The sequence below is a fragment of the Homo sapiens genome, chromosome 6 (assembly GCF_000001405.40).
Source record: "Homo sapiens chromosome 6, GRCh38.p14 Primary Assembly".
NCBI lineage: Eukaryota > Metazoa > Chordata > Mammalia > Primates > Hominidae > Homo > Homo sapiens.
This window is the reverse complement of record NC_000006.12, coordinates 134658-159606: the sequence shown is the minus strand read 5'-3', so window position 1 is coordinate 159606 and position 24949 is coordinate 134658. Positions and strand designations below refer to the sequence as shown.

The window sequence follows — 24949 nt, the reverse complement described above, 5'->3', positions numbered from 1 at the left end:
CTGTTTATGTGATGGATTACATTTATTGATTTGCATATGTTGAACCAGCCTTGCATCCCAGGGATGAAGCTGACTTGATCATGGTGGATAAGCTTTCTGATGTGCTGCTGGACTCAGTTTGCCAGTATTTTGTTGAGGATTTTTGCATCGATGTTCATCAGAGATATTGGCCTGAAATTTTATTTCTTTGTTGTGTCTCTGCCAGGTTTTGGTATCAGGATGATGCTGGCCTCATAAAATGAGTTAGGGAGGATTCCCTCTTTTTCTATTTTTTGGAATAGTTTCAGAAGGAGTGGTACCAGCTCCTCTTTGTACCTCTGGTAGAATTTGGCTGTGAATCCATCTGGTCCTGGACTTTTTTTGGTTGGTAGGCTATTAATTGTAGCCTCAATTTCACAACTTGTTATTGGTTTATTCAGGGATTTGACTTCCTCCTGGTTTAGACTTGGGAGGGTGTATGTGTCCAGTAATTTATCTGTTTCTTCTAGATTTTCTAGTTTATTTGCATACATGTGTTTATAGTATTCTCTGATGATAGTTTGTATTTCTGTGGGATCAGTGGTGATATCGCCTATATCCTTTTTTATTGCATCTATTTGATTCTTCTCTCTTTTCTTCTTTATTAGTCTGGCTATCAGTCTATTTTGTTGATCTTTTCAAAAAACCAGCTCCTGCATTCATTGATTTTTTTTTGAAGGGTTTTTTGTGTCTCTATCACCTTCAGTTCTGCTCTGATCTTGCCACCAGCCCACCTCGCATCATCGTTTACATGGAAATGTTGGGACTGAGGTGACCTCATGCCTCTCAGTTCCCAGCCAGCTTTCTCTCCCTCTGGCTCTTAGCCAGCCTGTTAAACAGAAAATAATCAGACAAATAAAAAACACCCTAGTGTTCTAGCAAGTTACACATAATTGCTTGCTTACCAATTGTCTACCTCAGAACTTTCTTTTCCTCATAGGGTCAATATAATCATCTATTTTAAATTTGGCTTTTGCCATTTTACAGTCCAAGATGCAGGACTTTGCATAGGGCACAGATGGATTTCCATAGTCAGCATGAGGATGGGAGGAGGACAGGGCAGATCCAGACCCACTCAGTGAGAGCTCTGGCTGGAGTTACTTGGCTGGACCTCACTCCCGAGAGAGGAGACCTTCCTCTGGACCAGCTACCAAGACAGCTCCTAGTTGGAAAATGTTTTCTTCTAAGGTGAGATGCAGCCCCCACTGGACAGGAAAACACCAGACAGTTTTAAAAAGGAAAAACCAAGGTAAGCCGTGGAGCTTCTTGACGGGGGACACAGCAGAGTCCACCCAGCTGGGGTGAATCTCCACGGTTCCCCAGTGGGACGGCGTGCAGGAGTCCCAAGTCACTGACCCCTGCAGCGTGGGAGCAGCATGAGCCATCTGCAGTGACATTGTCTCCTCCGGCAGCAGCCTCCATCCAGAAATCCATCTCAGGGTCTGTCCTCACAGGAACCTGATGCCAGAGCTGTGCACTGAAAGGATTTGGACACAGGTATTTTGTGGAACTGAGCATTTTCCAGGTCTTGCTGGAGGTCATTCTGTGTGAACTTGATGGAGATCTTTCTCATGCGCTGTTTTCCTAAGTGTGGGAGAGCATGGCCTGCATGACTGCTGGCTTCCAGCACGTGGCGTGCAAACCCATGCCAGAGTGTGTAATTCACTGTAGCCCTTGACAGAATAGCAGGGGATAAAGCTTGTTTTTTAATCTTCTGTTTATTACCCTCAGCCAATTAACTTCTATCTATAGTAGAAGATATTTTGCCAAATTTTTTTTTTCAAAATGGAGAAATACCTTGCTCTTAAGGCTTTTAGAAGCACAGACTTCTCAATTTCATTACATTAAAATCACTAAAAGATAGAAAAAAGTGAAATTCACATATCAAAAGAAATTCTCTTTTGTCATAATACTCTATTTTCATTTGAAATGTTTGTGAATTTTCCATGCATGTGTCCAGATGCATAGGGAGTTTATTCAGTCAATTAAGTTAAAACATTAGATAACATGGTAAATTCAAAAAGTAGTGAAGACACATTTTGTTTCTGTCTCTTTAACTGAGAAAACTGGTTGATGCCTCCTGTGTGCGAGCACCGTGTAGCTGATGCAGATACAGAAACCGAGGTTTTCTTACTTGCTGCCACTGGCCCTGGCACTGGAGGTTGGCTCTGGGAGGGCAGGGTATCTGTTTTTATTACCACTCAGCAAGTGCCACACAAATATACACGGGTGTCTCTGCCCTCTAGTGGATCCTGGCAGGCACTGGGAGCAAATGTGACTAAAAAAAGTGAAAGATTTAAAAAATACCCATTATCTCCAGAGGGGATTTAATTCTAACAGGGGACTTTTTTTTTTTTCTTTTTCAAATGGGCTGATGGGTAAAAATAATGCAAGACTGGAGATGTTGGAAAAAAGCACACTGCATTTGCCTTTCAGCATCTGTGATGACTGAGTCCTTCCTCAGCGCTGCCACAGGGAGCACATTCACATGTGTGTCACACACATACCAGGGTTAGGTCAGAAGACCAAGTGTTACCTGGAGGAAGCCACAAAGGCTATGAGACCAAGCCTTCACCTGGAAGACACTTGATAGTTCAGAAGCCGAGATCCTGCGAGGTGTCTCAGAGAGCTCAGCTGTGACCCTGCACTGTATGGAAGGGCAGGCAGTGGGGCCCAGGCAGGTGAAGAGGATTGTCCACTGTTGAGCATCATCAGCCTAAAACCCACATGCAATGCTATTGCTGCAAAACCGCTGACTGTTGAAGCCACAAACCACAGAAACAGACTACCTTTATGGTCCTCACTGTGCAACTGGTGACTTTTCAGAAGATGAAGATTAAACATATTAATCATAAATTCAAAGCATCAGAAGAAATACTAGGAGGTTTTCTAACCTCTGCTACCATGACTTTTCTTTTTGGCAAGATTTGTGAATTATTGTAAATAAGCTCACAGAGGCCAAAGTGCTCCCCTGAGTCATCCAGAAAGAGGCAGGCTGCTAATCCCCACATCTGAGACATCTGTGTTTTCTTAGGATAATAAAAAATTAAAGATAAGGGAAAGAGAGAAGGACAGAAAGAGACAGAGAGACAGAGAGACAGAGAATTGGAGCTAAGAGGAAACATTTTCAGGTTTTGCCCCCCAGAATTCCCAGTGAACAGTCCCATTGCCAGCGGGTGAAATCCCATGCCCTGGCTCCAGGATCCTGCTCTTTCGTTTGGTGACTCCTGTGCAGATTTGGCACTGAAACAATATGGAACTTGTTACACTTCTCTGGACAAGTCATTTTGCTTTCGGCTCACAGGCTCCACTTCCCTGGACACCCCTTCACCCTAAGCTTCAAGTAATTCAGCTTCACCCTTCAGAGAAGAGCTCAGGTGTCACTTCCTCTAAGGACCTCCCCAGCTGCCTCTCCAGCAGAAGGGCCCCCACCTTGCCCTTTGCACATCTGTCCCTCAAGGTGCTGCTGTCCTCTGTGGAGGGTGGGATCCCGGGAACTAGAGCCCCTCTCCTGCTGGAGACACTCGGCACTCAGAAAGTGTGTGCTGAGCGGATACAAGTGTGGCAAGCTTGCACAGTCTTACAATGTGTAATCTCATGTCTGAAATAGATCCCCATTTTCATTCTTGGTAAAATGAGTAAGTGGGGCTGGGTGACCCATACTCTCTTTTCAACTCAGAAGTCCACATTGAGCCTGACATCAAATAGCTTCCCAGCCAGTGCCAGGCCAGGACCTAGTTTGTTCAATGTGCCTGTGTCCCCTACAGAGTTGGAAAAGCATGGAGAAATGGGACCAGCTCTGCTGCCTGCTGCCCAGTGCCAACCAGCAACTCCAGGCTCACAAACCCAAGGCAAAGGCACCTGCAGGAGATCTTGGTTATTCATTAGCTGTGATTGGGCTGGGAGGGGAGTGTGTTCACTTCTAATTTTCCAGGGACTAGCATGAGACAGTAAAGTTTGAAATGTGGAGTTTTTTTGTCTTGGCCAAAAAAAAAAAAAAAAAAAAAAAAGACCTTTTTACCTTCTCATCCTTGGAGCCACTGGCATTAGCTATGGGCCTGATAGTTTAAGAAAACTTGAAAGTGAACTATGTGAACCAGTATTCTCCAAAGTAATATTTTGATAAATAGTGTAATTCTTTATTACAGCAAAGCCATTGCTTAAGTGGGCAAAACTCTAGAGGATAGGAAAACACACTCTTGAAAAAAGGTGGTGATGCCCTGAAATTCAGCAAACTGCAGGGACACGTGTTGTTCTACCCCAGGTCAGAATGTGTCAGTCATCACTCGATGCCACTCACAGACCACCAACTTCAGAATATCTAGGTGTAAATTTCTGTACAAAAGTCTTAACATAACAATGTAAATAATTTCACATTATGATTAATAAATTAGTATTTGTATTACACTATTACATAATATAAAAGCTATTAAAACATATTTGTCCTCAAAGAATGGCCTTGGTTTCTTTGGGCAGTGTCTCCTCATGGAAAGGTAGTGCATTCCTGCTAAGTCATGGACAAAACTGGCCTCCAGGAGCTGCAAGCTGCAGCAGCAGCTTCTCATCTACGTCCGTCACTACATGATACTGTTGTTGACTTTGAAAGCTTCTTTCAGTCTAGTTTTATCAACAGAGCTAGTATTTCATGAGGATCTACTACATACCAGGTTCCAGAAAGCTAAATGCCTTTTGCTTGTTATTACTCACTAAATACAAACCACAACTCTCTTCTCATTACTCACACAACAAAATTTAGCTGAGGGAGATTGAGTGACTTTCCCAGGGTCGCACAGTTACTAAGAGCAGAGCCGTGTTTAGATTCATGTGGGAATACTGAACGCTGAAATGAACGAGCAGAAATATCCTACGTTCCAAAAGCCTACTCAAGCCATTTGTTCTTAAGGAAAATCTTTATGCTAATTTTAAGCTCCAAATACTTATGAATGGCAGAGATCTACAGATTTCATTCTGATGTAAGAGATGATGCTCACCAGCTGGTTACTGCTACCACCCCACAACCCCGAGCATACTGGACAAATCTCTAAGCCTCGTTGTTAGTGCAGACAATGCTGGTGGAGTCTGAAGTTGTCATGCAGTGACTCACTCAAGCTTAGGCAGATTTGATGATATATGACACAGAGATGCAAAGAAATGCTGTAGCTGACACACAGAGGCTGGCTCTGGGAGATGCAGAAGGAGCATGTCACCCAAAATAAAGCCAGACAGACATCCTTAAGGAAGGAGCAAAGGGGCTGCATCTTAAAGAATGAAGAAGAGATTTGTCATGAGAGATGGGACAGGAAGTTCTTGAGAGGCAGAGGGAGAGCATGAGAATGTCGGGAAGGGAGGAGAGATTCTTGCACATCTGGGAAGCTGACAATCCATCGGCATTGTCAGAAGGAAAATAAGGAGGAGGAGTGGAAATAATAAAAGCAGGGCTGTGTGTTGATTGTGGTAAAGAGTTGTGATTCTATCCAGAAGGCAATAGGTAGCATTCTAAAGAGAGATCTTCTAAAACAAGAGTCAGCAAATATTTTCTGCAAAGGGCTAAATGTTAAATATTTCAAGTTTTCCAAGCCATGTTGTCCCTCTCTCAATGACTCAGCTCTTCCATTATACCATGAAAGTAGCCAGAGACATTGTATAACACATGTATGTGGCTGTGTCCCATTACAACTTTACTTACAAACGCAGACTGTGTCAGACCTGGCCCATGCATGGTAGTTTGCCACACCCTGTTTTAGAAAGCTCAGGTTTATGATGTGATGGAGAATGCCTACAAGAGCTCTTGTTTTAAATGGTAGAGTGAACATACACTGGAATTCTATCCTGCTTGACCCAAGCTCTTGATAGCGAAAGGTAGAAAAGATAGATGGTAAATAGATAGATAGATGATAGATAAAGAAAATACATAGCTGTTCCAGAAAACAGAAATGGATAACTTCATGAACCAAAAGCAGAGTAATATACTTTAGAAAGGGAGCAGGCTGGAAAACTCACAGTTGCAAAGCAAATAGAATTTCCAACTGCCTCTTGTAGCCCCTTCCTGGAAGTAGTCACAACCCAGGGTGTTTCGACTTCTTCCCCTGTTTTTTGTTTGTTTGCTGTTTGCTTTTTTGTGGGTTTTTGTTGTTGTTGTTTGCTTTTTTAAAAAAAATTCCCTTTCCCTGCTTTTTTGTCACAGCAGTCTTTGTCACTTCAAACACCACAAGTTTTCTTTTTCAAAAAATTATATCAACCTTTCAATTAAAATGCAACATGTCTGAAACTTGATATCTAGAGAGGTGATATGGACAAAGGAGCCCTTGTTACTGCACGTTTCTGTTCTCCAGACTTCACCTTGCACACAAGAACAGACAATGCACAAAACCACTTCCTTATGGACTGAAATTCTGAAATCCTTTTATGACTGGCGTTTCCTAACCCTTCAACTTCCCCTCTCCCATGCTGTGAATGATTGTATTGGACATTTTTGTTTTAATCTCAGTGACAGGGGAACACAGGTAGCTCTAATATAGCTGTGACCCAGATGCTTCTGTTTCTACCATGTATTTATTTTGTAGCAAACATTTACATCCATCGTTTTTCACTGTCTTTTGAAAATAATTAGGGAATATCTCATCTGAGGTAGGATGTTTCTAGTGGTTGTGTTCTGAAGGAGGAAAAACTAATCTGTTCTCTTTCCACTGCATTCCAGGAACAGTGAGAGGACCTTGTGCATGAATAATTTGTTTCCACACTACAGAGTGGGTAATAAGCAGATTAGTAAAAACAATTCTGCTTCACTTCAATAACAGCCTCCTCCAACTCATTTTTTCTCAACAAACTTATTTTTCCAGCAGAATAATCCCAGACTTCTTAAGAGAACCCAGTGACTTTTCGCACCTTAAATCTGTGAAATCCTGTTTTCTTACGCCATATGCATAGTTCAAACATACAAAGATGATGCAAAGCCAGACGCATTCCTGAAGGAGCCTAAGAAATTCCTCTCTTTCTGTCTCTGGAATGAAATGAATTCTCTAGACCATCAGTTCTAACCTTCAGAAACCAAACCTGTTTGTGAGATCTCCTTCAAATGCTACTGTAGACTCCAGTGTTTATTCATTAAATTTTTAAAGTATTTGTTTTATTTGGAATCAGTTTATTTGTAATTTTAGTATTTGTATTAATACAAGGGAGAAATGTTTAAGTCTGTCTATGCCATATATGCCTCTGGCTTATTGCCCAATTAATTGTAGCCTCAGGCTAAACTTTGGTTTCTGTTTTTATTTTTTTCAGGACAAATATAACTGATCTCAAAACATCTGCTTTTATTGTAGGGGCTTGTGCTGCCATCTCCATTCCTCTCTCTTTTCTTGCAATCTGGGTGGAAGTTCTTTAATATGAACATTTCAACCACCTTCATTCTACCATGTCCACTATCAGCACATTCAAGCTTATCCAGCCAAGGCTGTCATCTTAGGCCAGGGATTTTTTAGGAATCTATTTTGCTGTGATGCAGCTGGTACCCCTTTGATTCACTTTATCACTCCAGGGTTTTTTTTCATTTTAGGAGCCCAAGAAGGCAGAAAAAGAAGTAGGTGAGCAATTAAACCCTCTGAGTAGGAGCGTCTCCCCTTGCGTTAAACAATGTTGTAGAACATCGTATTTAGTAAGCTCCTAGCAGATGAGCCACGTGGCTGCTGTGCACACACGCCTGCTTGCTGCTGTGAGCTCAGACACCATCATTAGTCTTTTGCATCTCTGGAGGGAATTATAAGGACCACTTAATAACCTGTGAATCATAGAGAGTTAAAGGTGTTTCCCCAAAACACTGATGACAGAATGAAAGGTGAGGAGTGTTAGCCACAGGTCAAAAGTGCAAGAAAGTCTCTCAATGTGGGTTGTTGAAGAAATGCAGGTCTTTTTTCTTTTGGAAGTCTCCCTAGAATGGGGTCAAGGACTCTGCCCATTCTAGGATGAAAAACTGGGATATTAGACACCCTCAGTTATTTATTCCAAGCCTTCATTTTGGGCTCTTAATTAGTTTATTCAACCATCACAATCTCAAATGCTAGCAAAGCTGAGAACTCAGTTTTGAAATTTACTCTTGGGTCCCCTCAGCCAAGAGTGGGTCTGTTCAGTCAGTTGGGAGCTTAGGATTTCATTTTCATTTATCATTGCTAATGGGAAAGAGTACGCTGTCTTCATGGCAGCTGAATTTGCAAGAAACTCCTTGGATGGGGTTAATGGCAGCTGTATTTTTCTGGGAGCTCTGCTTTAACTGGATAAAGTAAGTTCTGCTAAGATTTCTTCCTTTATCTTCAGTATCTCAAATGCTTTCATTTAAATAATCTTTATAACAACTTTTGATGTCTGAGTGGATTCCCACACAGTCATCTATTGTAAGACTTTCTGATTCCTTTTTTTTCCTTTGTTCATTATGAATAAGGCTTCTGTAAATAATTGCATGGTAGCTTTTGTTTGGAAATAGCATCAAAGTAGTTGTCAAAATACTTAGGAATGTGATTTTTGGATTGTAAGGTGAAACTTGTTTAGCTTTGGAAAAAAGTGCCCAACTTGTAATAGGGGAGGAAAAATAATTTTCTATGTTTTTGGAATTCTGAGATGGGACCCTCTGTAAAAACTGACAGATTAAAATGAGAAAAACAGAAAAGTTTAAAAACATGTATACCTTATGGATACATGGGAGATACTCAGGGCAAAATGAGTAAATCTCCAACAGGTGGCTTTCAATTCAAGCATAAATACTATGTTGAACTTAAAGAAAGAAGATTTGAGGTGCAGTAGTGGGGAGTTAGCCAGCAAAAGCACAGTAGACAAGGGTAAGGTTTGTTATACAGACTTAAGTCCATGCAGTCTCCATTGATAAGACTCTTTAGTGATTTAGTTATCCTTCTCTTCTTGGTGTTGAGAGAGGTAGCTTTTGAATGGGGATTTCCTTTATAGATGTAAATTTCCCTTACACAAGGGTAACTTCTACTCTGTTTTCAGAACTTCCTTTGTTAGCATTTTTTTTTTTCAAAATAATCAGCTTGGAATAATTCTTAAGCAAAAGGGACATATTTTGGGGTGGCATATTCTGGTTTCCTACCATTATATTTTGGGGTGGCATATTTTGGTCTTATACACTGTGTTCCACCGGCAATGAAAAGAGTTCTTGTTTTTCCTCCAGCAATTTGTCATTTTTTAAAGAGTTTAGCAGTTCTAAGAGATGCAGACCAGCTGTGCTATCTCATTGTGGTTTTCAGTTCTCTAGCATGTTGAGCATGTTTTTGTATGTTTACCTGCCATCTGTAGATCTTCCTTGGTAAGATGTCTGTTGAGATCTGTGTGCCTTTTTAATTGGGCTGTTTAACTTATTGTTTAGTTTTAAGAATTTTTAAATATATTTTGAATACAAATTCTCAGATCTGTATTTTGCAAATATTTTCTTCAATATGTGGCTTGTCTTTTTGTTATCTTAACAAGGTCTTCTCCAGAGTATAAACTTTAAATATTAAGAAATCCACATTGTCATTTCTTCTGTGTATATCAACCTTTTGTGTCATTTGTTAAAATTCATTACCAAACCCAAAGGCACATAGCTTTTCTTCTATAGATTCTTCTAGAAATGGTATAGTTTTGCATTTTTAGTGTAAGGATGATTTTGAGTGATTATTTGTGTAAGTTGTAAAGTTTTCATCTACATGCATATCATTTCCTATGGTTTCCAATTAATCCTTCCATCACTATTTTTGGGAAACACACAGGATAGTGGGCTCTGTTAGAGGAGATAGATAGCTAGACATGAACAGGAGGGGGAGCTCCTGGAAAAGGGAAAGTCTGAGAAGGCTCACCTGGAGGGACCACCAAAAATGCACATATTAGTAGCATCTCTAGTGCTGGAGTGGATGGGCACTTGTCAGTTGTGGGTAGGAGTGCGAAGAGGTACCTATGCAGAAAGAAAAACCCTAGAACTCTCTTTAAGATGCCCCAACCATCATTCACTCTGCAATAAAAATGTCAGAATATTGGTAGCTACATGCTGATAAGAAGGACAAAGGGGACATTCTTAAGAGAAACCTGGCACCCTAAGTGCAGATTAGGGCAAAGAAGGACATTCAAAAGAGATAGGCAGGCACACTGGGTACAAACGTGACCGCTGTCAGCCTGCCTGGGATGGCGGGAAGGAGGCTGGTGCCAGAGTGGATTCGGATTGATCACCACACATGTACCTCAACCAACAGTGAGGAGGTCCCACAAGCCTAAGTGTGGCAAGTCGGGGACCTAAGGCAGTAGCAGGAAAACCAGACAAAGAGAACAGGTGGAGACTTGAGACAGAGGCAGGAATGTGAAGAAGTCCAAAATAAAATTCCCTGCACAGGACTCCTAGGATGTTTTCATGCACGATCAGCCCACTCCTCCCTATTTTTCTACAATGAGCTCTTTACACTGTATTTCTTTTCAATGAAGTTGTCTCCCATTTTTGTACTGCCTCTTGGTGAAAATCTTTCTTCCAAGTTAGACAAGAACTGGGACATCAGCTCTCCCTAGTACTAGCTCCGTTTCAGTTGAATTTACAGAACTGATGGGGCTTAAAAACTGATGCTCTGACTTTAAGTGGTGCAGGAGGCAGCCAGTAGGGGACGCCAACCGTCACACTGGGAGCAAGAGAGCCCTGCCTAGTCCCCATCTGCCTGCAGGTGGCGTGCTGCCTCGACACTGCCACCAAGAGGGCCAGGCAGTGTCTCCAGCTGCCAGCAGGTGGCGTACGACGACTACACTGTGAGCAACAGGGCCCTGCAGTGTCCTTAGCTGCCAGCAGGTGTCATACGGGCACCACACCATGAGCAAGAGGACCCCGCAGTGCCCTGGTTGCCAACAGGGGGCGTGCTGCCACTACACTGTGAGCGAGAGGTTCCTGTAGTGCCCCCAGGGGCCAGAAGAGGGCGTGCCCCCACTGCACTGCAAGCAAGAGGGCCCGGCAGTGTCCCCAGCTGCCAGCAGGGGGGTGTGCTGCCACCACACTGTGAGCAAGAGGACCCTGCAATGTCCCTAGCTGCCACCAGGCGGCGTGCAGCCGCTATACTGTGAGCAAGAGGGCCCTGCATTGCCCCGGCGCCAGCAGGGGGCGCTGGCCACCACTATAAGCAACAGAGCCCTGCAGCTGCCCTAGTCGCCAGCAGGGGGCGCACTGGCACAGCACCGTGACCAAGCGGGTCCTGTAGTGCCCAGCTGCAAGCAGGGGGCGGTCGAGCCCGGCTTTTCGAATTACTGAGGTTCCACCCGTCTCCGCGCCTGCACCGCGCCCCACCCCCAGCACAGGGGCGTGCGACTGTGCTCCTGCACCACGCCACCCCAACCCCCGCCCGGCGGCGTGCTCTCTGCGCATCCACCGCGCCTCCCGCGCGCACGTCGCGTCAGTCTGTGCGTGCCCGCGCCGGCGCGGGGTGCCTTTGCGGGGGCAGAGCTGCGTTCTGCTTAACACAGACCCGGGGGACACCAAAAACGCGGAGCAGCTTTCTCAGCACACACCTTGGGGGCACGGCCTCGCTTTGGGACAACTCAGGGCAGCATCGACGGTGAACAAAATCCTTTCTGTTTGCAGCCCTGAATAATCAGGGTTAGGGTTAGGGTTAGGGGTTAGGGTAGGGTTAGGGTTAGGATTAGGGGTTAGGGTTAGGGTTAGGGTTAGGGTTTAGGGTTAGGGTTAGGGTTAGGGTTAGGGTTAGGGTTATTGGTTAGGGTTAGGGTTAGGGGTTAGGGTTAGGAGTTAGGGTTAGGGGTTAGGGTTAGGGTTCAGGTTCGGGGTTCGGGTTGGGGTTGGGTTTGGGGTTAGGGTTAGGGTTAGGTTTTGGGGTTAGGGTTAGGGTTTGGAGTTAGGGGTTAGGGTTAGGGGTTACCGTTAGGGTTAGTGTAGGGGTTAGGGGTTAGGCTTAGTGGTTAGGGTTAGGGTTAGGCTTAGGGTTAGATTACAATTTCTAACCTGTTTTATTTTGTTTTTTTTCTGAGACAGGGTCTCCCTCTTTTGTCCAAGGCTGGAGTGTGGTAGTGCTATCACAGCTGACTGCAGCCTCAACCTTCCAGGCTGAAGCGATCCTCCCATCTCAATCTCCTACGTGGCTGAGACTACAGGTGCTTGCCACTATGCCCAACTAACATTTGGAATTTTCGTATACGTGGATTCTAGAGGGGTGACAGCGAAACGTGAGTAAGCATGGATTTTGGTATATGCAGAGATGGGGGGCTGGAACTAATTCTGTATACTGAGGGATGACGACTGTATATGTTTTTACAATTACGCTGTAGGATACATACTGTTGCATAGCCTTGAAAATAATAATTTTTAATTGAGTGGAATAATAATAATATTGATAAAAGTAGCAGCTGGCCAGGTGTGGTGGCTCACACTGGTAATCGCAACACTTTGGGAGGCTGAGGCAGGAGGATGGCTTGAGGCCAAGAGTTTGCGATAGGCCTTGGAAACAAAGGGAGTCACCATCCCTATAGAAAAATACATGAATTAGCCTAGTGTGGTGGCATGTTCCTGTAGTCCCAGCTACTTGGGAGGCTGAGGTGGGAGGATCACTTGAGCCCAGGGAGGCTGAGACTGCAGTGAGTCATGATCAGGCCTCTGCACTCCAGCCTGGGTGACAGAGTGAGACCCTGTCTCTAAACAACAAAAAAGTAGCAGCTAACATCAACTGACCTTTTACCGGGTGCCTATGGATACCATAGTTTAATTTCTTATAACTGTTTCTTATTTTACTTACCAACTCTGTCTTCAGTTACTCCCAGATTTTTACTGTGTGTGTACAGATGACCTTTTGGAGGAGCCTCAACAGGCACAGCTCCTCCCTCATAGTGGCCCATTTAGGCCCAACTCATGACTGTCGGGCTATTTCCAGGCCTAGTGTCTGCCTCGTGGCTGACTGTTGAAGCCCAAAACTTCCTCAAATCAGCCTTTTGCCCAACTTCTGTCTACTGTCGGACTCTACAGGCCAGCCTCTGCCTCACAGTGGACCCTCCAGACCCAGATGGTGTCTCACTGTGGCATCCTCAGGCGAAGCTCCTGCCTTTTGGCAGCCTCTCCGGGCCCAGCTCCTCCTGCCTCCCAGTGGCCTCTTTCGGCCCAGCCCAGCTCATGGCTCTCGGCGGCCTTCCCAGGCCCCGCTTTTGACTTTTGGCAGCCTCTTCAGGCGCAGAACTTGATCTCCAGTCGGCCTTTGCAGGCCCGGCCTCCTGCCTCTCGAAGGCCTGCACGGGCCTGGCCTCGGCCTTGGCCTCACAGCGGACTCTCCACGCCCAGCTAGCTCTCGCCTCACTGAGGCCTCCCCAGTCCAAAGCTCCTGCCTTTCGGCCACTTCGGCAGGTCCAGCTCCTGCCTGCCAGTGGCCTCTTTAGGCCCAGCTCATTCCTCACGTCGGCCATTCCAGGCCCCGTTTTTCCCTTCCGGCAGCCTCTTGGCCTCTAATTTGTTTATCTTTTGTGTATAAATCCCAAAATATTGAATTTTGGAATATTTCCACCATTATATATTTTGGTAGGTAATTTATTTGGAGTGAGTTTCTGCCCATGCCCGAATTTTTTATTTTATTTTCCTTATTATTTGGTGTTAAACAGGTTTAATGACGGTCATGGCAACTTTTTGGCACAATGAAAAATATCGCCCATGATCAACGTGTTCTGTTCTGGGGAAGGGGGCAAAGGCAGGGTGAATCACTTTCTTAAAAAGTATAGCTCAAGTTGGGAGTGCAGAGGGAATGGGGAGAAAACCCTCCCGCTGCCTGTGTCGAAGTGCAGGAGCCCCCACCCCCATACTCACCTGAGTCCAGCCCCTCTGGGGAAAGAAGGGGTGCATGAACTCCCCCTAGTCCACAGGCGCCTCCCTGTGGCCCAAGGCCCTCTTCACACTCCATCTTGTAGCCCCAGCAGGAGCTATTTTCCGAAAAGTGAAAAGCTCTGAAGGTCCCACAATTCATGGTATGTACAGGGGCTCGGAGGAGGGAAATTGCCCAGCTTTCCCCCGGCACAGCTGCAGGGTTAGGGGGTATAGATAAGAGGAGCAGGCCTTGGCCAGGCGTGGTGGCTCACGCCTGTAATCCCAGCACTTTGGGAGGGGGAGGCAGGCAGATCACGACGTCAGGAGATCGAAATCAGCCTGGCCAAGATGATGAAGCCCCGTCTGTACTAAAAATACAAAAATTAGCCGGACGTGGTAGCGTCTACCTGTAATCCTAGCTACCCGGAAGGCTGAGGCAGGAGAATGGCGTGAACCCGGCGGGAAGAGGTTGCAGTGAGCCAAGATCGCACCACTGCACTCCAGCCTGGGCGACAGAGCAAGACTCGGTCTCAAAAAAAAAAAAAAAAAAAAAAAGAGGAAGGCCTTACTCCGTCCCAAACTGAAAGGATTAAATGGCTTCACCTGGGAGAAGATAACCATCCTGCCCTCCATTGCTACCCCCACATACTGTCCATGTTCTCAGGGGGTACTGTGAGTCCTGGGATCTTTGGGGTTGCCCACCTGCCTGTGGTAGTTATGGAGACCCCCAGGTGTTGAGGCAGGGCTGGGGTGTCCCCTTCCAACCAGGCTGTCAAGGCCCCAACTCTGGGGCAGAGGCAGTGGCAGGGCAGCCAGGTTTGTGCCAGAGCCTGAGCAGGTTGAGGTGGGGTCAGGCAGGGCTGGGAGTCAGGGCAGGGGCAGCAGCAGTGGACCCGCTATGCACACATCTTCTTCTCCAAGGTTTGTGTGCAGAACATCCTGCCCATGCTGACCCAGCAGCTTCAGTTGGCACCTGCCCCAGTCCAGCCTCTGGGAACCATGCAGCAGCTCCCAGCGGCCCTGCACCCACCACCAGCATCCGTTTCACCTGCAGTTGAAGATCCGTGAGGTGCCCAGAAGATCATGCAGTCATCAGTCCCACGGAGCAGCCCGCGAGGCTGAGGCTCCTCCCACTGGACCGCCCCCCAACTGGCACCACTGCTGCCCCTGCCCCTACTCTCAGCCTCACGTGACTCTCGGGCAGAGGCAGTGGTGGGGCAGCCAGGGCAGCGTCAAGAGTCTGAGCCAGGTGAGGTGCGGTCAGGACCCCCACAGGGCTGGGAGTCAGGGCAGGGGCAGAACAAACCTTGGAGGGGAAGATGTGTGCATAGTGGGCCTGGAGGGCGGCTGTGGCCTAGTGGACAGGAAGAAGCAGTGGGCCTGGAAGAGCTGCATGATCAGGGCCGGCACTGGTCCAGGGCACGTGCAGTGAAGAGGACAGCTCCTTCTCGGTCTCCGGTTCCCTGAGCCTGTCCTCGGCTTCTCCACCTGTACAGGCAAAGGGGAAGCTGTCCCCATCACACATGGCACACTTGGGGGTGTTGGGCTTTGGACTGCAGCTGGAACATCTTCTCATCTTGCATTTGGGCGTGGTGGGGTCCTCCAGTGTGGGATCCATGTCCGTGGGGTTCCCTCTGCCCCGACCCCTAAAGCCCAGTCAGTTTCTCTTCAGGCTCTGCTCCCCGGGTGGCTCAGCCCAGCTCCTGCCTAGGAAAGCCTTAGTGTTGGGAGGGACCCTGATGACTGAGGAGCCTGGTAGCTCCAGGTCGCCCACACTTTCAGGTCTCTTGCACCAGAAGGTGGCAGGATCCATTGGGAGGAAACAGGCCACCTTGGAAGGCGTCCCTGGGCCCCCATCCCCAGGGGTTGGGGCCGTAGGGGGCCCGCTCTGCTGCGTTGACCAGACTCCTGGGCTTTGAAGGCTCCTGGGCCCAGTAAGAAGGAGGTGGGCGCCAAGGTTGAGGAGGAAGCATCCGAGTATGTGTAGGAGGAGGACAGGGTGTGACCATAGACTGCCAAAAGCTGCAGGTGGATCGGGGGACGCTGGGGGCTCAGGATCCAGCAAGGGGCGGCAGGAGTAAAGGAGGAAGGAATGACAGGTGCAAATACCTTCCCACCAAAGCCCTTGTTGCCCTCTGGCTCCTCCCCAGAGCTGTCCCCACTCTCAGTCGGTCACCCACTCCTTGAACTTGAGATCGGTGTCGGTGGTGCTAAAGCCATCATCAGCAATGACATCATCACCCCCTCCTCCTCATGGATGACCGTGTGCTCCTCGTCACTCGCTGTGTCCTCACTGGCCATGTGCTGGGAATGAGCAGCTCAGGTGGGCAGCAGCAGGGCTGCCCACGGGTCACCTCCCTCACCAGGGGCTGCAAAGTGGCCTGGAGCTCCATGCTGAGTAGAAGGCTTTGGGCCAGAGTATGATGCAGTGCCAGACACCACCTGTGTCAGTTCCCGTAGTGCCTGACGGTCTATTTCCCTGCCGTCCAGGCTGTGTACCCCGCTGTGGGAGAAGGCTTGGGCCAGGCTGAGCCAGGTTCCCTGACTGTGTGCAGCCGTTCTGCCCCACAGAAGCTGCTCCTTGGCATCCGAGCTCTGGAGTGTTTGGGCTGCAACTGACAGGAGTTCAGAGGACGCCCCAGGGGCAGTGGCAGTGCCCGTCTCTGATATGCTCCGCTCCCACGAGCCCTTGTTACACTGCTGCTAGCCCCTGGCTTGTGGGCTTGGCCTCTGAGCTGGACTTCTTTCGGTCCTTGTTGCAAGTGGGCCACCTTCACCTGGAAGGCCAGGTCGTATTTCTGCATCTCACTGGGCCCCAGGGTGTACCACCGCTCGCTCAGCATCTGGCTGACGGTCCGGTTATCCTGGTTGGGGTGACCCTGGTGCGCCCCGCCAGGGCCTGGTGCCGCTTGCTGAAGATCATGAGCGCCACTCATGGGCCACCAGATGTGGTCCTTGTCCCATTTGTTGGGGCTGCGTCCATCCTTCTCAGAAGATGAGTCCTGTTCCTTGCGCAGGGCACTGAGGGACTGGGCCTGACATCATCTGAGTGGTAGAGGCAACTGGGTGTCAGGAGACATGATGGAGAGGAAAGCATCATCATGGTCATTCTCTGTCTCACTGTCCAGCAGGGACTCCCCTGAGGGGCCCAGGGCTCCTCCTCCATGGTGGGAGGTGAGCTTTTACCAGGTTCCACCACCCCCAAAGTGTGTGGGGTTGCGGGCCCTGGGCTTTCAGGGCAGGTGGCTCCAGGGGGCCGCCCAGGGTCAACACTCCCTGTCCCACCTGGTGGACGCTCATGAGCAACAGCTGGCAACTTGGCAGGTTGTTTTCTCTGGTTGCAGGCCACTGAGTGACTGGCAGGTTGCTGGGCCTCGTGTGGCTGCAGGGAGGGGTCAGGAAGGGGATGGAGTACCAGGGGAACACAGCCGCAGAGTGACCTTCCACATTCCTCCACACGAACATGCTGACGCCACGGGAGGCCTCACTGAACGCAGGCCTGGGGGCCGAGTACTTGGTCCGGGCAGGGGGTTCCTGGCAGGGGCTCACACCTCCTCGCCCCCTCCTCAGCCAAGGTGGCTTGGGCCCAGAGAAGGGGAGGTTGGAGAGGAGCAGAAGGCCAGGCCTCAAGTTTTGTTTTTTTTGTTTGTTTTGTTTTTTGTTTTTGAAATGTAGTTTGACTCTTGTCACCCAGGCTGGAGTGCAGTGGCACGATCTCAGTGGCCTTCATACCTGGCTAATTTTTTGTATTTTTACTGGAGGTGGGGTTTTGCCATGTTGGCCAGGCTGGTCTTGACCTCCCGACCTCAGGTGATCCACCCACCTCAGCCTCCCAAAATGGGATTACAGGCATGAGCCACCGCTCCCAACTTCATTCCTTTTTACTTGAAAAACTCCGTTAAGCATTTTTTTAAGGTAGACCTAGTGGTCCTGAATGCCCTCAGCTTTGTTTGTCGAGGAAACACGTTATTTCTTTTTTCTTTCTGAAGGACAGCTTTGTCAGACATAGTATTAGTTGCTGGCAGTTTTTTTCTTTCAGCACTTTGAATGTATTATTCGATTCTGTCCTGACCTGCAAAGTTTCTTTAACTTTTGACTATTTGATTATATTGTGACTTGGTGAGTATCTATTTGGTTTGAACCTCTTTAGGAATCTTTAAGCTTCATGGATTTAGATGTCTAAATCTTTCCCATGATTTAGGCAGTTTTCAGCCATTCTTTAAATAAGCTTTCTTCTCCTTTCTCTACTTTCCTTCTCAAACTCCCATAACCTGACAATGGTTTGCCTAATGGTGTCTTGTTGGCTTTCTTTTCTCTGTCTCTTTTTTTTTTTTTTTTTTTTTTTGAGACAGAGTCATGCTCTGTCACCCAGGCTGGAGTGCAATGTGTGGTCTCGGCTCACATTGCACTCCAACCTCCGCCTCCTGGGTTCAAGTGATTCTCCTGCCTCAGCCTCCCAAGTAGCTGGGACTACAGGTGTGTGCCACCACACCCGGCTAATTTTTGTATTTTTAGTAGAGATGGGGTTTTGTCATGTTGGCCAGGCTGGTCTTGAACTTCTGACCTCTTAATCTGCCTGCCTCGGCCTCCCAAAGTGTTGGGATTACAGGCTTGAGCCACCACGCCCAGCCTTCTTTTCTCTTTTTTATTCTTTTTTTCTTTGTCCTCTGACTGGATAATTTCAGAAGATCTATATTCAAGTTTACAGATTCTCTCTCCTGTTGAAGTTTACTATTGTGTTATATCACCCAGTCTGGTCTTGAACTCCTGGGCTCAAGCGATCCTCCCACCTTGGCCTCCCAAAGTGCTGAGTTTACAAGCATGAGCCACTGCATCCAGTCAGTCCCAGCACTTTGGGAAGCTGAGGTGGGAGGATCACTTGAGCTCAGGAGTTTGAGACCAGCCTGGGCAACATACTGAGAACTTGTCTGTATATTAAAAAAAAAAAAAAAGTCTTTGGGAGGCCAAAGCGGGAGGATCACCTGAGGTCAGGAGTTCGAGACCAGCCTGGCCAACATGGCAAAACCGCATCTCTACTAAAAATACAAAAATTAGCCAGGTGTGGTGGCACACACCTGTAGTGGTGGTGCATGCCTGTAGTCCCAGCTACTCAAGAGGCTGAGGCAGGAGAATCACTTGAACTGGGAGATGGAGGTTGCAGCGAGCTGAGATTGCACCAGTGCACTCCAGCCTGGGCAACAGAGTGAGACTCCATCTTATAAAAGGAAAAAAGAAAGAAAAGAAAAATTCCATATCTGAGTGTTTACTCCTGAGTTTTTGAGATTGTTATTAAGATCGTGCTCTACTGTGATGATTTGGGTTTGTTTGATAATCAGAAAAAAGCATATTCTTTTGGGTGTTCAGCCACACTGCTTTGGTGTCACAACTGCACATTGGTTTCACAGCTGCAGGACAAATTCGAGCATCTTAAAATGATTCAACAGGAGGAGATAAGGAAGCTTGAGGAAGAGAAAAAACAACTGGAAGGAGAAATCATAGATTTTTATAAAATGAAAGCTGCCTCTGAAGCACTGCAGACTCAGCTGAGCACTGATACAAAGAAAGACAAACATCGTAAGAAGCAATAGTTTCTCTTACTATTCTGAGAGCCTTATCATTCTACATCCCATCTTCCTGTGAGATTGTCTTTGTAGCATTTAACTCTAATTGCAGTTCTCTTTTTAAAAATTGGCTTGCTTATTGTATATTTTCCCCAACTAAAGCGTGAACTCCTAGCAGGGCGTGGTGGCTCATGCCTGTAATCTCAGCACTGTGGGAGGCCGAGGTGGGTCGACTACCTGAGGTCAGGAGTTCGAGACCAGCCTGACCAAGATGATGAAACGCTATCTCTACTAAAAATACAAAAATTAGCTAGGCGTGGTGGCTGGGACCTGTAATCCCAGCTACTTGGGAGGCTGAGGCAGGAGAATCACTTGAACCCTGGAGGTGGAGGTTGCAGTGAGCCGAGATCTCACCATTACACTCCAGCCTGGGTGACAAGAGCAAAACTCCATCTCAAAAAAAAAAAAAAAAAAAAAAAAAGGTGAACTTGAAGGCAGGTCCTGTGTCCATCTTTTCAGATTCTGTATCCCAGCACTTAGGACATAGACAAACAAGAAGATGACAATCAATATTTGCCAAAATGAAAAAACAAAAGAAACATGTAACATCATGTAAAAGAAGCTGGTTAGGTGGAGAAATTTATTTACCATAGTCTTGCTTGTGGATCCAGTAGTGACTTTTACATTTTATATCTAAATAGACGCTGGAGGCTTTGTTGGGTACTCATAGGCATAAAATATTATGTTATTTATTATAGAGTTAAATGCTACAAAGACAAATCTAATTAATAGGCCTATTTTCCTGTTTAAGTTCTACTCATAATTTCTTCATAATTTTTATGATAAAAGGTTGGATTTTGATTAGAACTCCCATGCTTTTGTGTCAGAATTAAAACTGGTATTAGAATAAATAATTCAAAAGCTAGAGAAAGAGTACAATGAGAAGCCATGAGTTGCATTTGAATTATAATATTATGTCTTACAGATTTGGGGTATATGCTAAAGTTACCAAAGTTGTAGAAAATAAGGCCGGGCATTGTGGCTCACATCTGTAATTCCAGCACTTTGGGAGGCCGAGGTAGATGGATCATTTGAGGTCAGGAGTTCGAGACCAGCCTGGCCAACATGGTGAAACTCCGTCTGTACTAATAGTACAAAAATTAGCCAGGCGTGATGGTGTGCACCTGTAGTCCTTGCTACTCAGAAAGCTGAGGCAGGAGAATCGCTTGTACCCAGGAGGCAGAGGTTGCAGTGAGCAGAGATTGTGCCACTGCACTCCAGCCTGGGTGACAGAGTGCTATGAGTCACCACACCTGGTATGAGCCACCGTGCCTGGCCCACAATGACTTTTACACATGTTGTTAAATCATCTTACAGATTTTATAATTTGGGGGAAGAAAAGTTTTACTAAATTGTCTTTTAATGGAAACTCTACAAGAACCAGAATCTTTGCTTTGTTCACTTGTGTATCCATTCCTAGGCCTAGAAAAATGTCTGACACATAGCGGCAATTATTCATTGAATAAATGGACCCAGCGATAGTACATTAGCTATGCTATATGCATACATTAAAGATGTAGATTATCGACTTTCAAAAGATAATTAATGTAACTTCTTACTGCTTCTGAACATGTTTGTGAGTTATATTGCTGAGGGACCTTTATCTTCTCATTCTTTCATCTTAACCCAGTGTTATAAAATTGAAATCACCAATATTATTCCATATCTAAAATTAATATCTACCTTGTAAAAAATATCACTCTGCTGCATTTGAGAATAGACTTTTTAGGTAATAATGATGCAATCCATAGGGCTTTTTGGGGGCACAGAGGGATTCATGCTAACAGAACATTTTATTTTCTATTTTCCCAGAGCTGTAAAACATGAAATTACGGTAGTATAAGGCATATTTTTACTCTTTTTATAATTTTTTCTAAAAAAAATTAGTGTTTGTTCCCTATATAACTTTTAACTTTATAGGTAAATATTTGTCTCTTTCAGCTCCAGTTTTATGTGAAATAGAGTTTTCAGATGTATGTAGCATGGAAAGTTTTAATACGTCAGAGTTACTGATTTTTGCCATTTTCTCAATTATTTCTTTTTTATCTTTAGTTGATTTTTTTGTAGTGACACATTTTGTTTCTAGTCTCATTTCCTTTTGTTTATATTCTATGTATATTTCGTTTTTGGTTACTATGAGAATTACATATAACATCCTAGATTTATAACATTTTAATTTGAATTTATTTCAACTTAAGTTCAATCACATACCAAAATTCTACTGCTATACATATAGCTCTACTCTTTTTATGTTATTGATGTAACAAATTATATCTTTATTCATTGTATACCAGCTAACAGATTTACAATTACATTTTACGCATTTGCCTTTTAAATTATGTAGAAAATAAAAAGCAGAGTTAGAAACCAAATTACAATAGGACTGTTTTTATGTTTGTTTATGTATTTACCTTTACCAGAGAGCTTTGTATATTCATACACCTTGCTTATTTACTTATATAGTTATTGCCTAGAGTTCATTTATTTCAACCTGAAGGACTTAACACTTCTTGAATGGCAAATTCAGGAATAAATGGATTTTTTTTCAGTTTTAAAAAAAAATCCGGAAATGTCTTAATTTCTCCCTCATTTTTGAAGGATAAGTTTTCCAGCTATAGATTTCTCAATTGACAGGTTTCTTAATTATTTTAAATATATAATCCACTGCCTACTGGCCTTCAAGGTTTCTGCCGAGAAATCAGCTGCTAATGTTATCTGGATCCCTATCTGTGAGAGTTGCTCTTCTCTCTGAGTTTTCAACATTCTCCCATTATCTTTTGTTTGTTTGTTTTTGAGACAAATAATTGTACATATTCATGGGATACAGAGTGATATTTTGATACATGTATACAATGTCCAATGATCAAATAAGGATAATTAGCATATCCATCACCTCAAATATTTGTCATTTATTTGTATTGTGAACAGTCAACATTCTTTCTTCCAGTTTTTTAAATTTATAAACATTTAAATTTTATTACAGAAATTTAAATTTTTTGATTCTGAAAAAGTTATATACATATGCAACATCGTTTTATCATTTATTTATATATTTATGCATCTTTCCTTTTAGTTTTGACAGAGATTTTCTATTTAATCATTATTTCAAAAGAACTCTTACCTGTATTTATTTATCAATTATATTTCCCTTGTTTTTTCCTAGTATATTAATTTATTTACTTATCTTCTAAAAATCCTCCATATAATCTGTTTGTTTCCTTTCTATAATTTCTTCAATAATTAGTTCTGTTCTATTTTCCATTAAAATATTTAAATCTTGTATGAATTTTTATCAGATTAGAAATTTAGGGCGTTTCTTAATTTCTCTATACTCTAGCTTTTGACTTTTTTTTTTCTGACCTAAGAGGTATTTAGAGCACATTTTAGATTTTTTATTTTGACTAATCATTTAAAATGTATACTAATCTTCAATTTAAATAAAAAACTGGTCTATAGTGACAAAAATTACAAATGAGCCTAACTAATAAATTATCAGCTGTGTTTATATGTATAGGCATGCACAGATTTTGGTAAATATGTACATAGTATATTGGTGAGCTTATTTTTGTCGTTCTTAACTCATTGTGTAGTCTAAACGTTGGGGAAAAAATAAAATACAATAATCAGATGGCGTGAATAAGAAAATTGTTCTAATGTTTGTAAACCAAGCAACGGTTTTAACTGCTCCCCTCTTCCTGATTGACTTCCAAAAGGGATTAATCCATATTAGGTCCTGTCGTATATGTCACGGTATAACATCTCCAGCTATAAAATGGAAATTTGAGAATAACTTTGCTGCTACTCAGATACATTTTATTTCAAAAACATACACTAAGGTGTTGCTGTTGGATCTTTCCAAAAACATATTCACACAGAACTTTCAATCACACTGAGCCATATTTGAACAATCTTTCAAGGTGAGCTCTGGCATAAGCTAACATTATACCATTTAACTCGGAAATTTCTGTAGTATTTGATTAATGGGTTTATGTTTGATATGTAATGTAATTTTCTAATGCTAAATCAAGTGGTAATTTTGTTAGTCAAGTTGATTTAGTGGCTTGGGAAGAAAGCTTTTAATGTTCCCCTAATTTTTCTTACCTTTGACATGATCCTTCACATGTCTTATTTTGCTTAGTGATTTTTCTTTTTTTTTTTTTTTTGAGACAGGGTCTTACTCTACCACCCAGGCTTGAGTGCAGTGGTGCGATCACAGCTCATTGCAGCCTTGACCTCCCAGACTCAAGCTATTCTTCCACCTCAGCCTCCCAAGTAGCTGGTACTACAGGCACATGCCACCAAACTTGGCTAATTTTTGTATTTTTTGTAGAGACAGAGTTTTGCCAAATTTTCAGGCTGGTCTGGAATTTCTGGGCTCAAGTAATCCTGCCTTGGCCTCCCAACATGCTGATATTACAGACATAAGCCACAGTACCCGGCCAGTTTTCTTTTTTTAAAAATCTATTGGTTATTAATTTGAAGCCTTCCTTTTCATAGCTGTGCTCCTTAATTGGGAGCAAACATGAATGGACCACAACTTAGCCAATTTTCTATATACGATCTTTGCCATCCTAATTTAAAGGAATATTAATTCTTTCTTTTCCTCTTTCATTCCACAAACCTGTATTGACTACATCTAAGTTCTAAATGGTGCACTGGATGTTGAAAAAGTTGATGATGAGCAAGAACAAAATTCCACCTTTCAGGAGACTTACAGTTCAATATGGGAAATATAATTTGTTAAAATATAAAAGTGCAATTGTGTTACATGCTGTACGAAGTACATGTTGACATGTGAGCATATAATAAATGGGCTGGAGGCCAGAGGATTGCCAAAGAGAATGGGCCTCCTGCTGAGATGAAAAGTTGAGCAGGGATTAGTTGGCGAAAGTGGAGGGACGACCCTTTCTAGGCAGGAGGAAGAACATGTACAGAATCTCTGAGGTGTGATGCGACAAAGTCTATATGAAAAACTGAAGAAAGGTCTAATGTGGCTTAAATACAGAAGCCAGTAGGAGAGGAGTCGAAAAGAGGCTGGAGAAGTAGAAAGTGTCTGCATTCTGCAGGAACTTATATTGTATAAAAAGAATTTCTCTTTATTCTAAGTGCAATGTGAAGCCAATGAAGTGCCTTAAACAGGTGATGTGATTTGATTGAATTTATTACTTCACTTAACAAATATTCATTACATGCCCACTGTTTGTCAGATATTGCTGTAGCCCCTGGTGATACAGTAGGGAATAAAACAGGCAAAAATCCCTGTCCTCTTGCAGCTTATAATGGACTGCAATGTTTAATATGTCAGAGGAGGTCCACGGAGGAGTGACTTCTAAGCAAGAATCTGAAAAAAATGAGGATATCTAAGGAGGGAACAAATGGTTCAAAAGCCCTATAATTGCAAGCAGGCATGATGAAGCAATTGTAGTTGTCCTGACTCTCAACACCGTGGAACTCAAAGGAGATGGAAAGATTCTTTCTCTCCCTCATATATTTTCTCTCTGTCTAT

The 24949-nt window shown here is 44.4% G+C and overlaps 2 pseudogenes across 1 annotated transcript, besides 2 other annotated features; one reads left to right on the top strand and one right to left on the bottom strand.

Moving 5' to 3' along the window:
- Nucleotides 3245–3334: an enhancer, noted in NCBI's record as "active region_23797". NCBI's record gives its function as "activates an Ori minimal core promoter by ATAC-STARR-seq in GM12878 lymphoblastoid cells {active_cell/tissue: GM12878}" and the evidence as "EXISTENCE:reporter gene assay evidence [ECO:0000049][PMID:35858748]".
- Nucleotides 3375–3464: an enhancer, noted in NCBI's record as "active region_23796". NCBI's record gives its function as "activates an Ori minimal core promoter by ATAC-STARR-seq in GM12878 lymphoblastoid cells {active_cell/tissue: GM12878}" and the evidence as "EXISTENCE:reporter gene assay evidence [ECO:0000049][PMID:35858748]".
- SEPTIN14P6 (septin 14 pseudogene 6) lies at nt 11448–19343 on the top strand (annotated as a pseudogene). The gene is made up of 3 exons (NR_109817.1): nt 11448–11582; nt 12017–12207; nt 19228–19343. The product of NR_109817.1 is annotated as a septin 14 pseudogene 6 (transcript).
- On the bottom strand, nt 13613–17377 carry CICP18 (capicua transcriptional repressor pseudogene 18; annotated as a pseudogene).
- Nucleotides 19344–24949: the final 5606 nt, after the last annotated feature.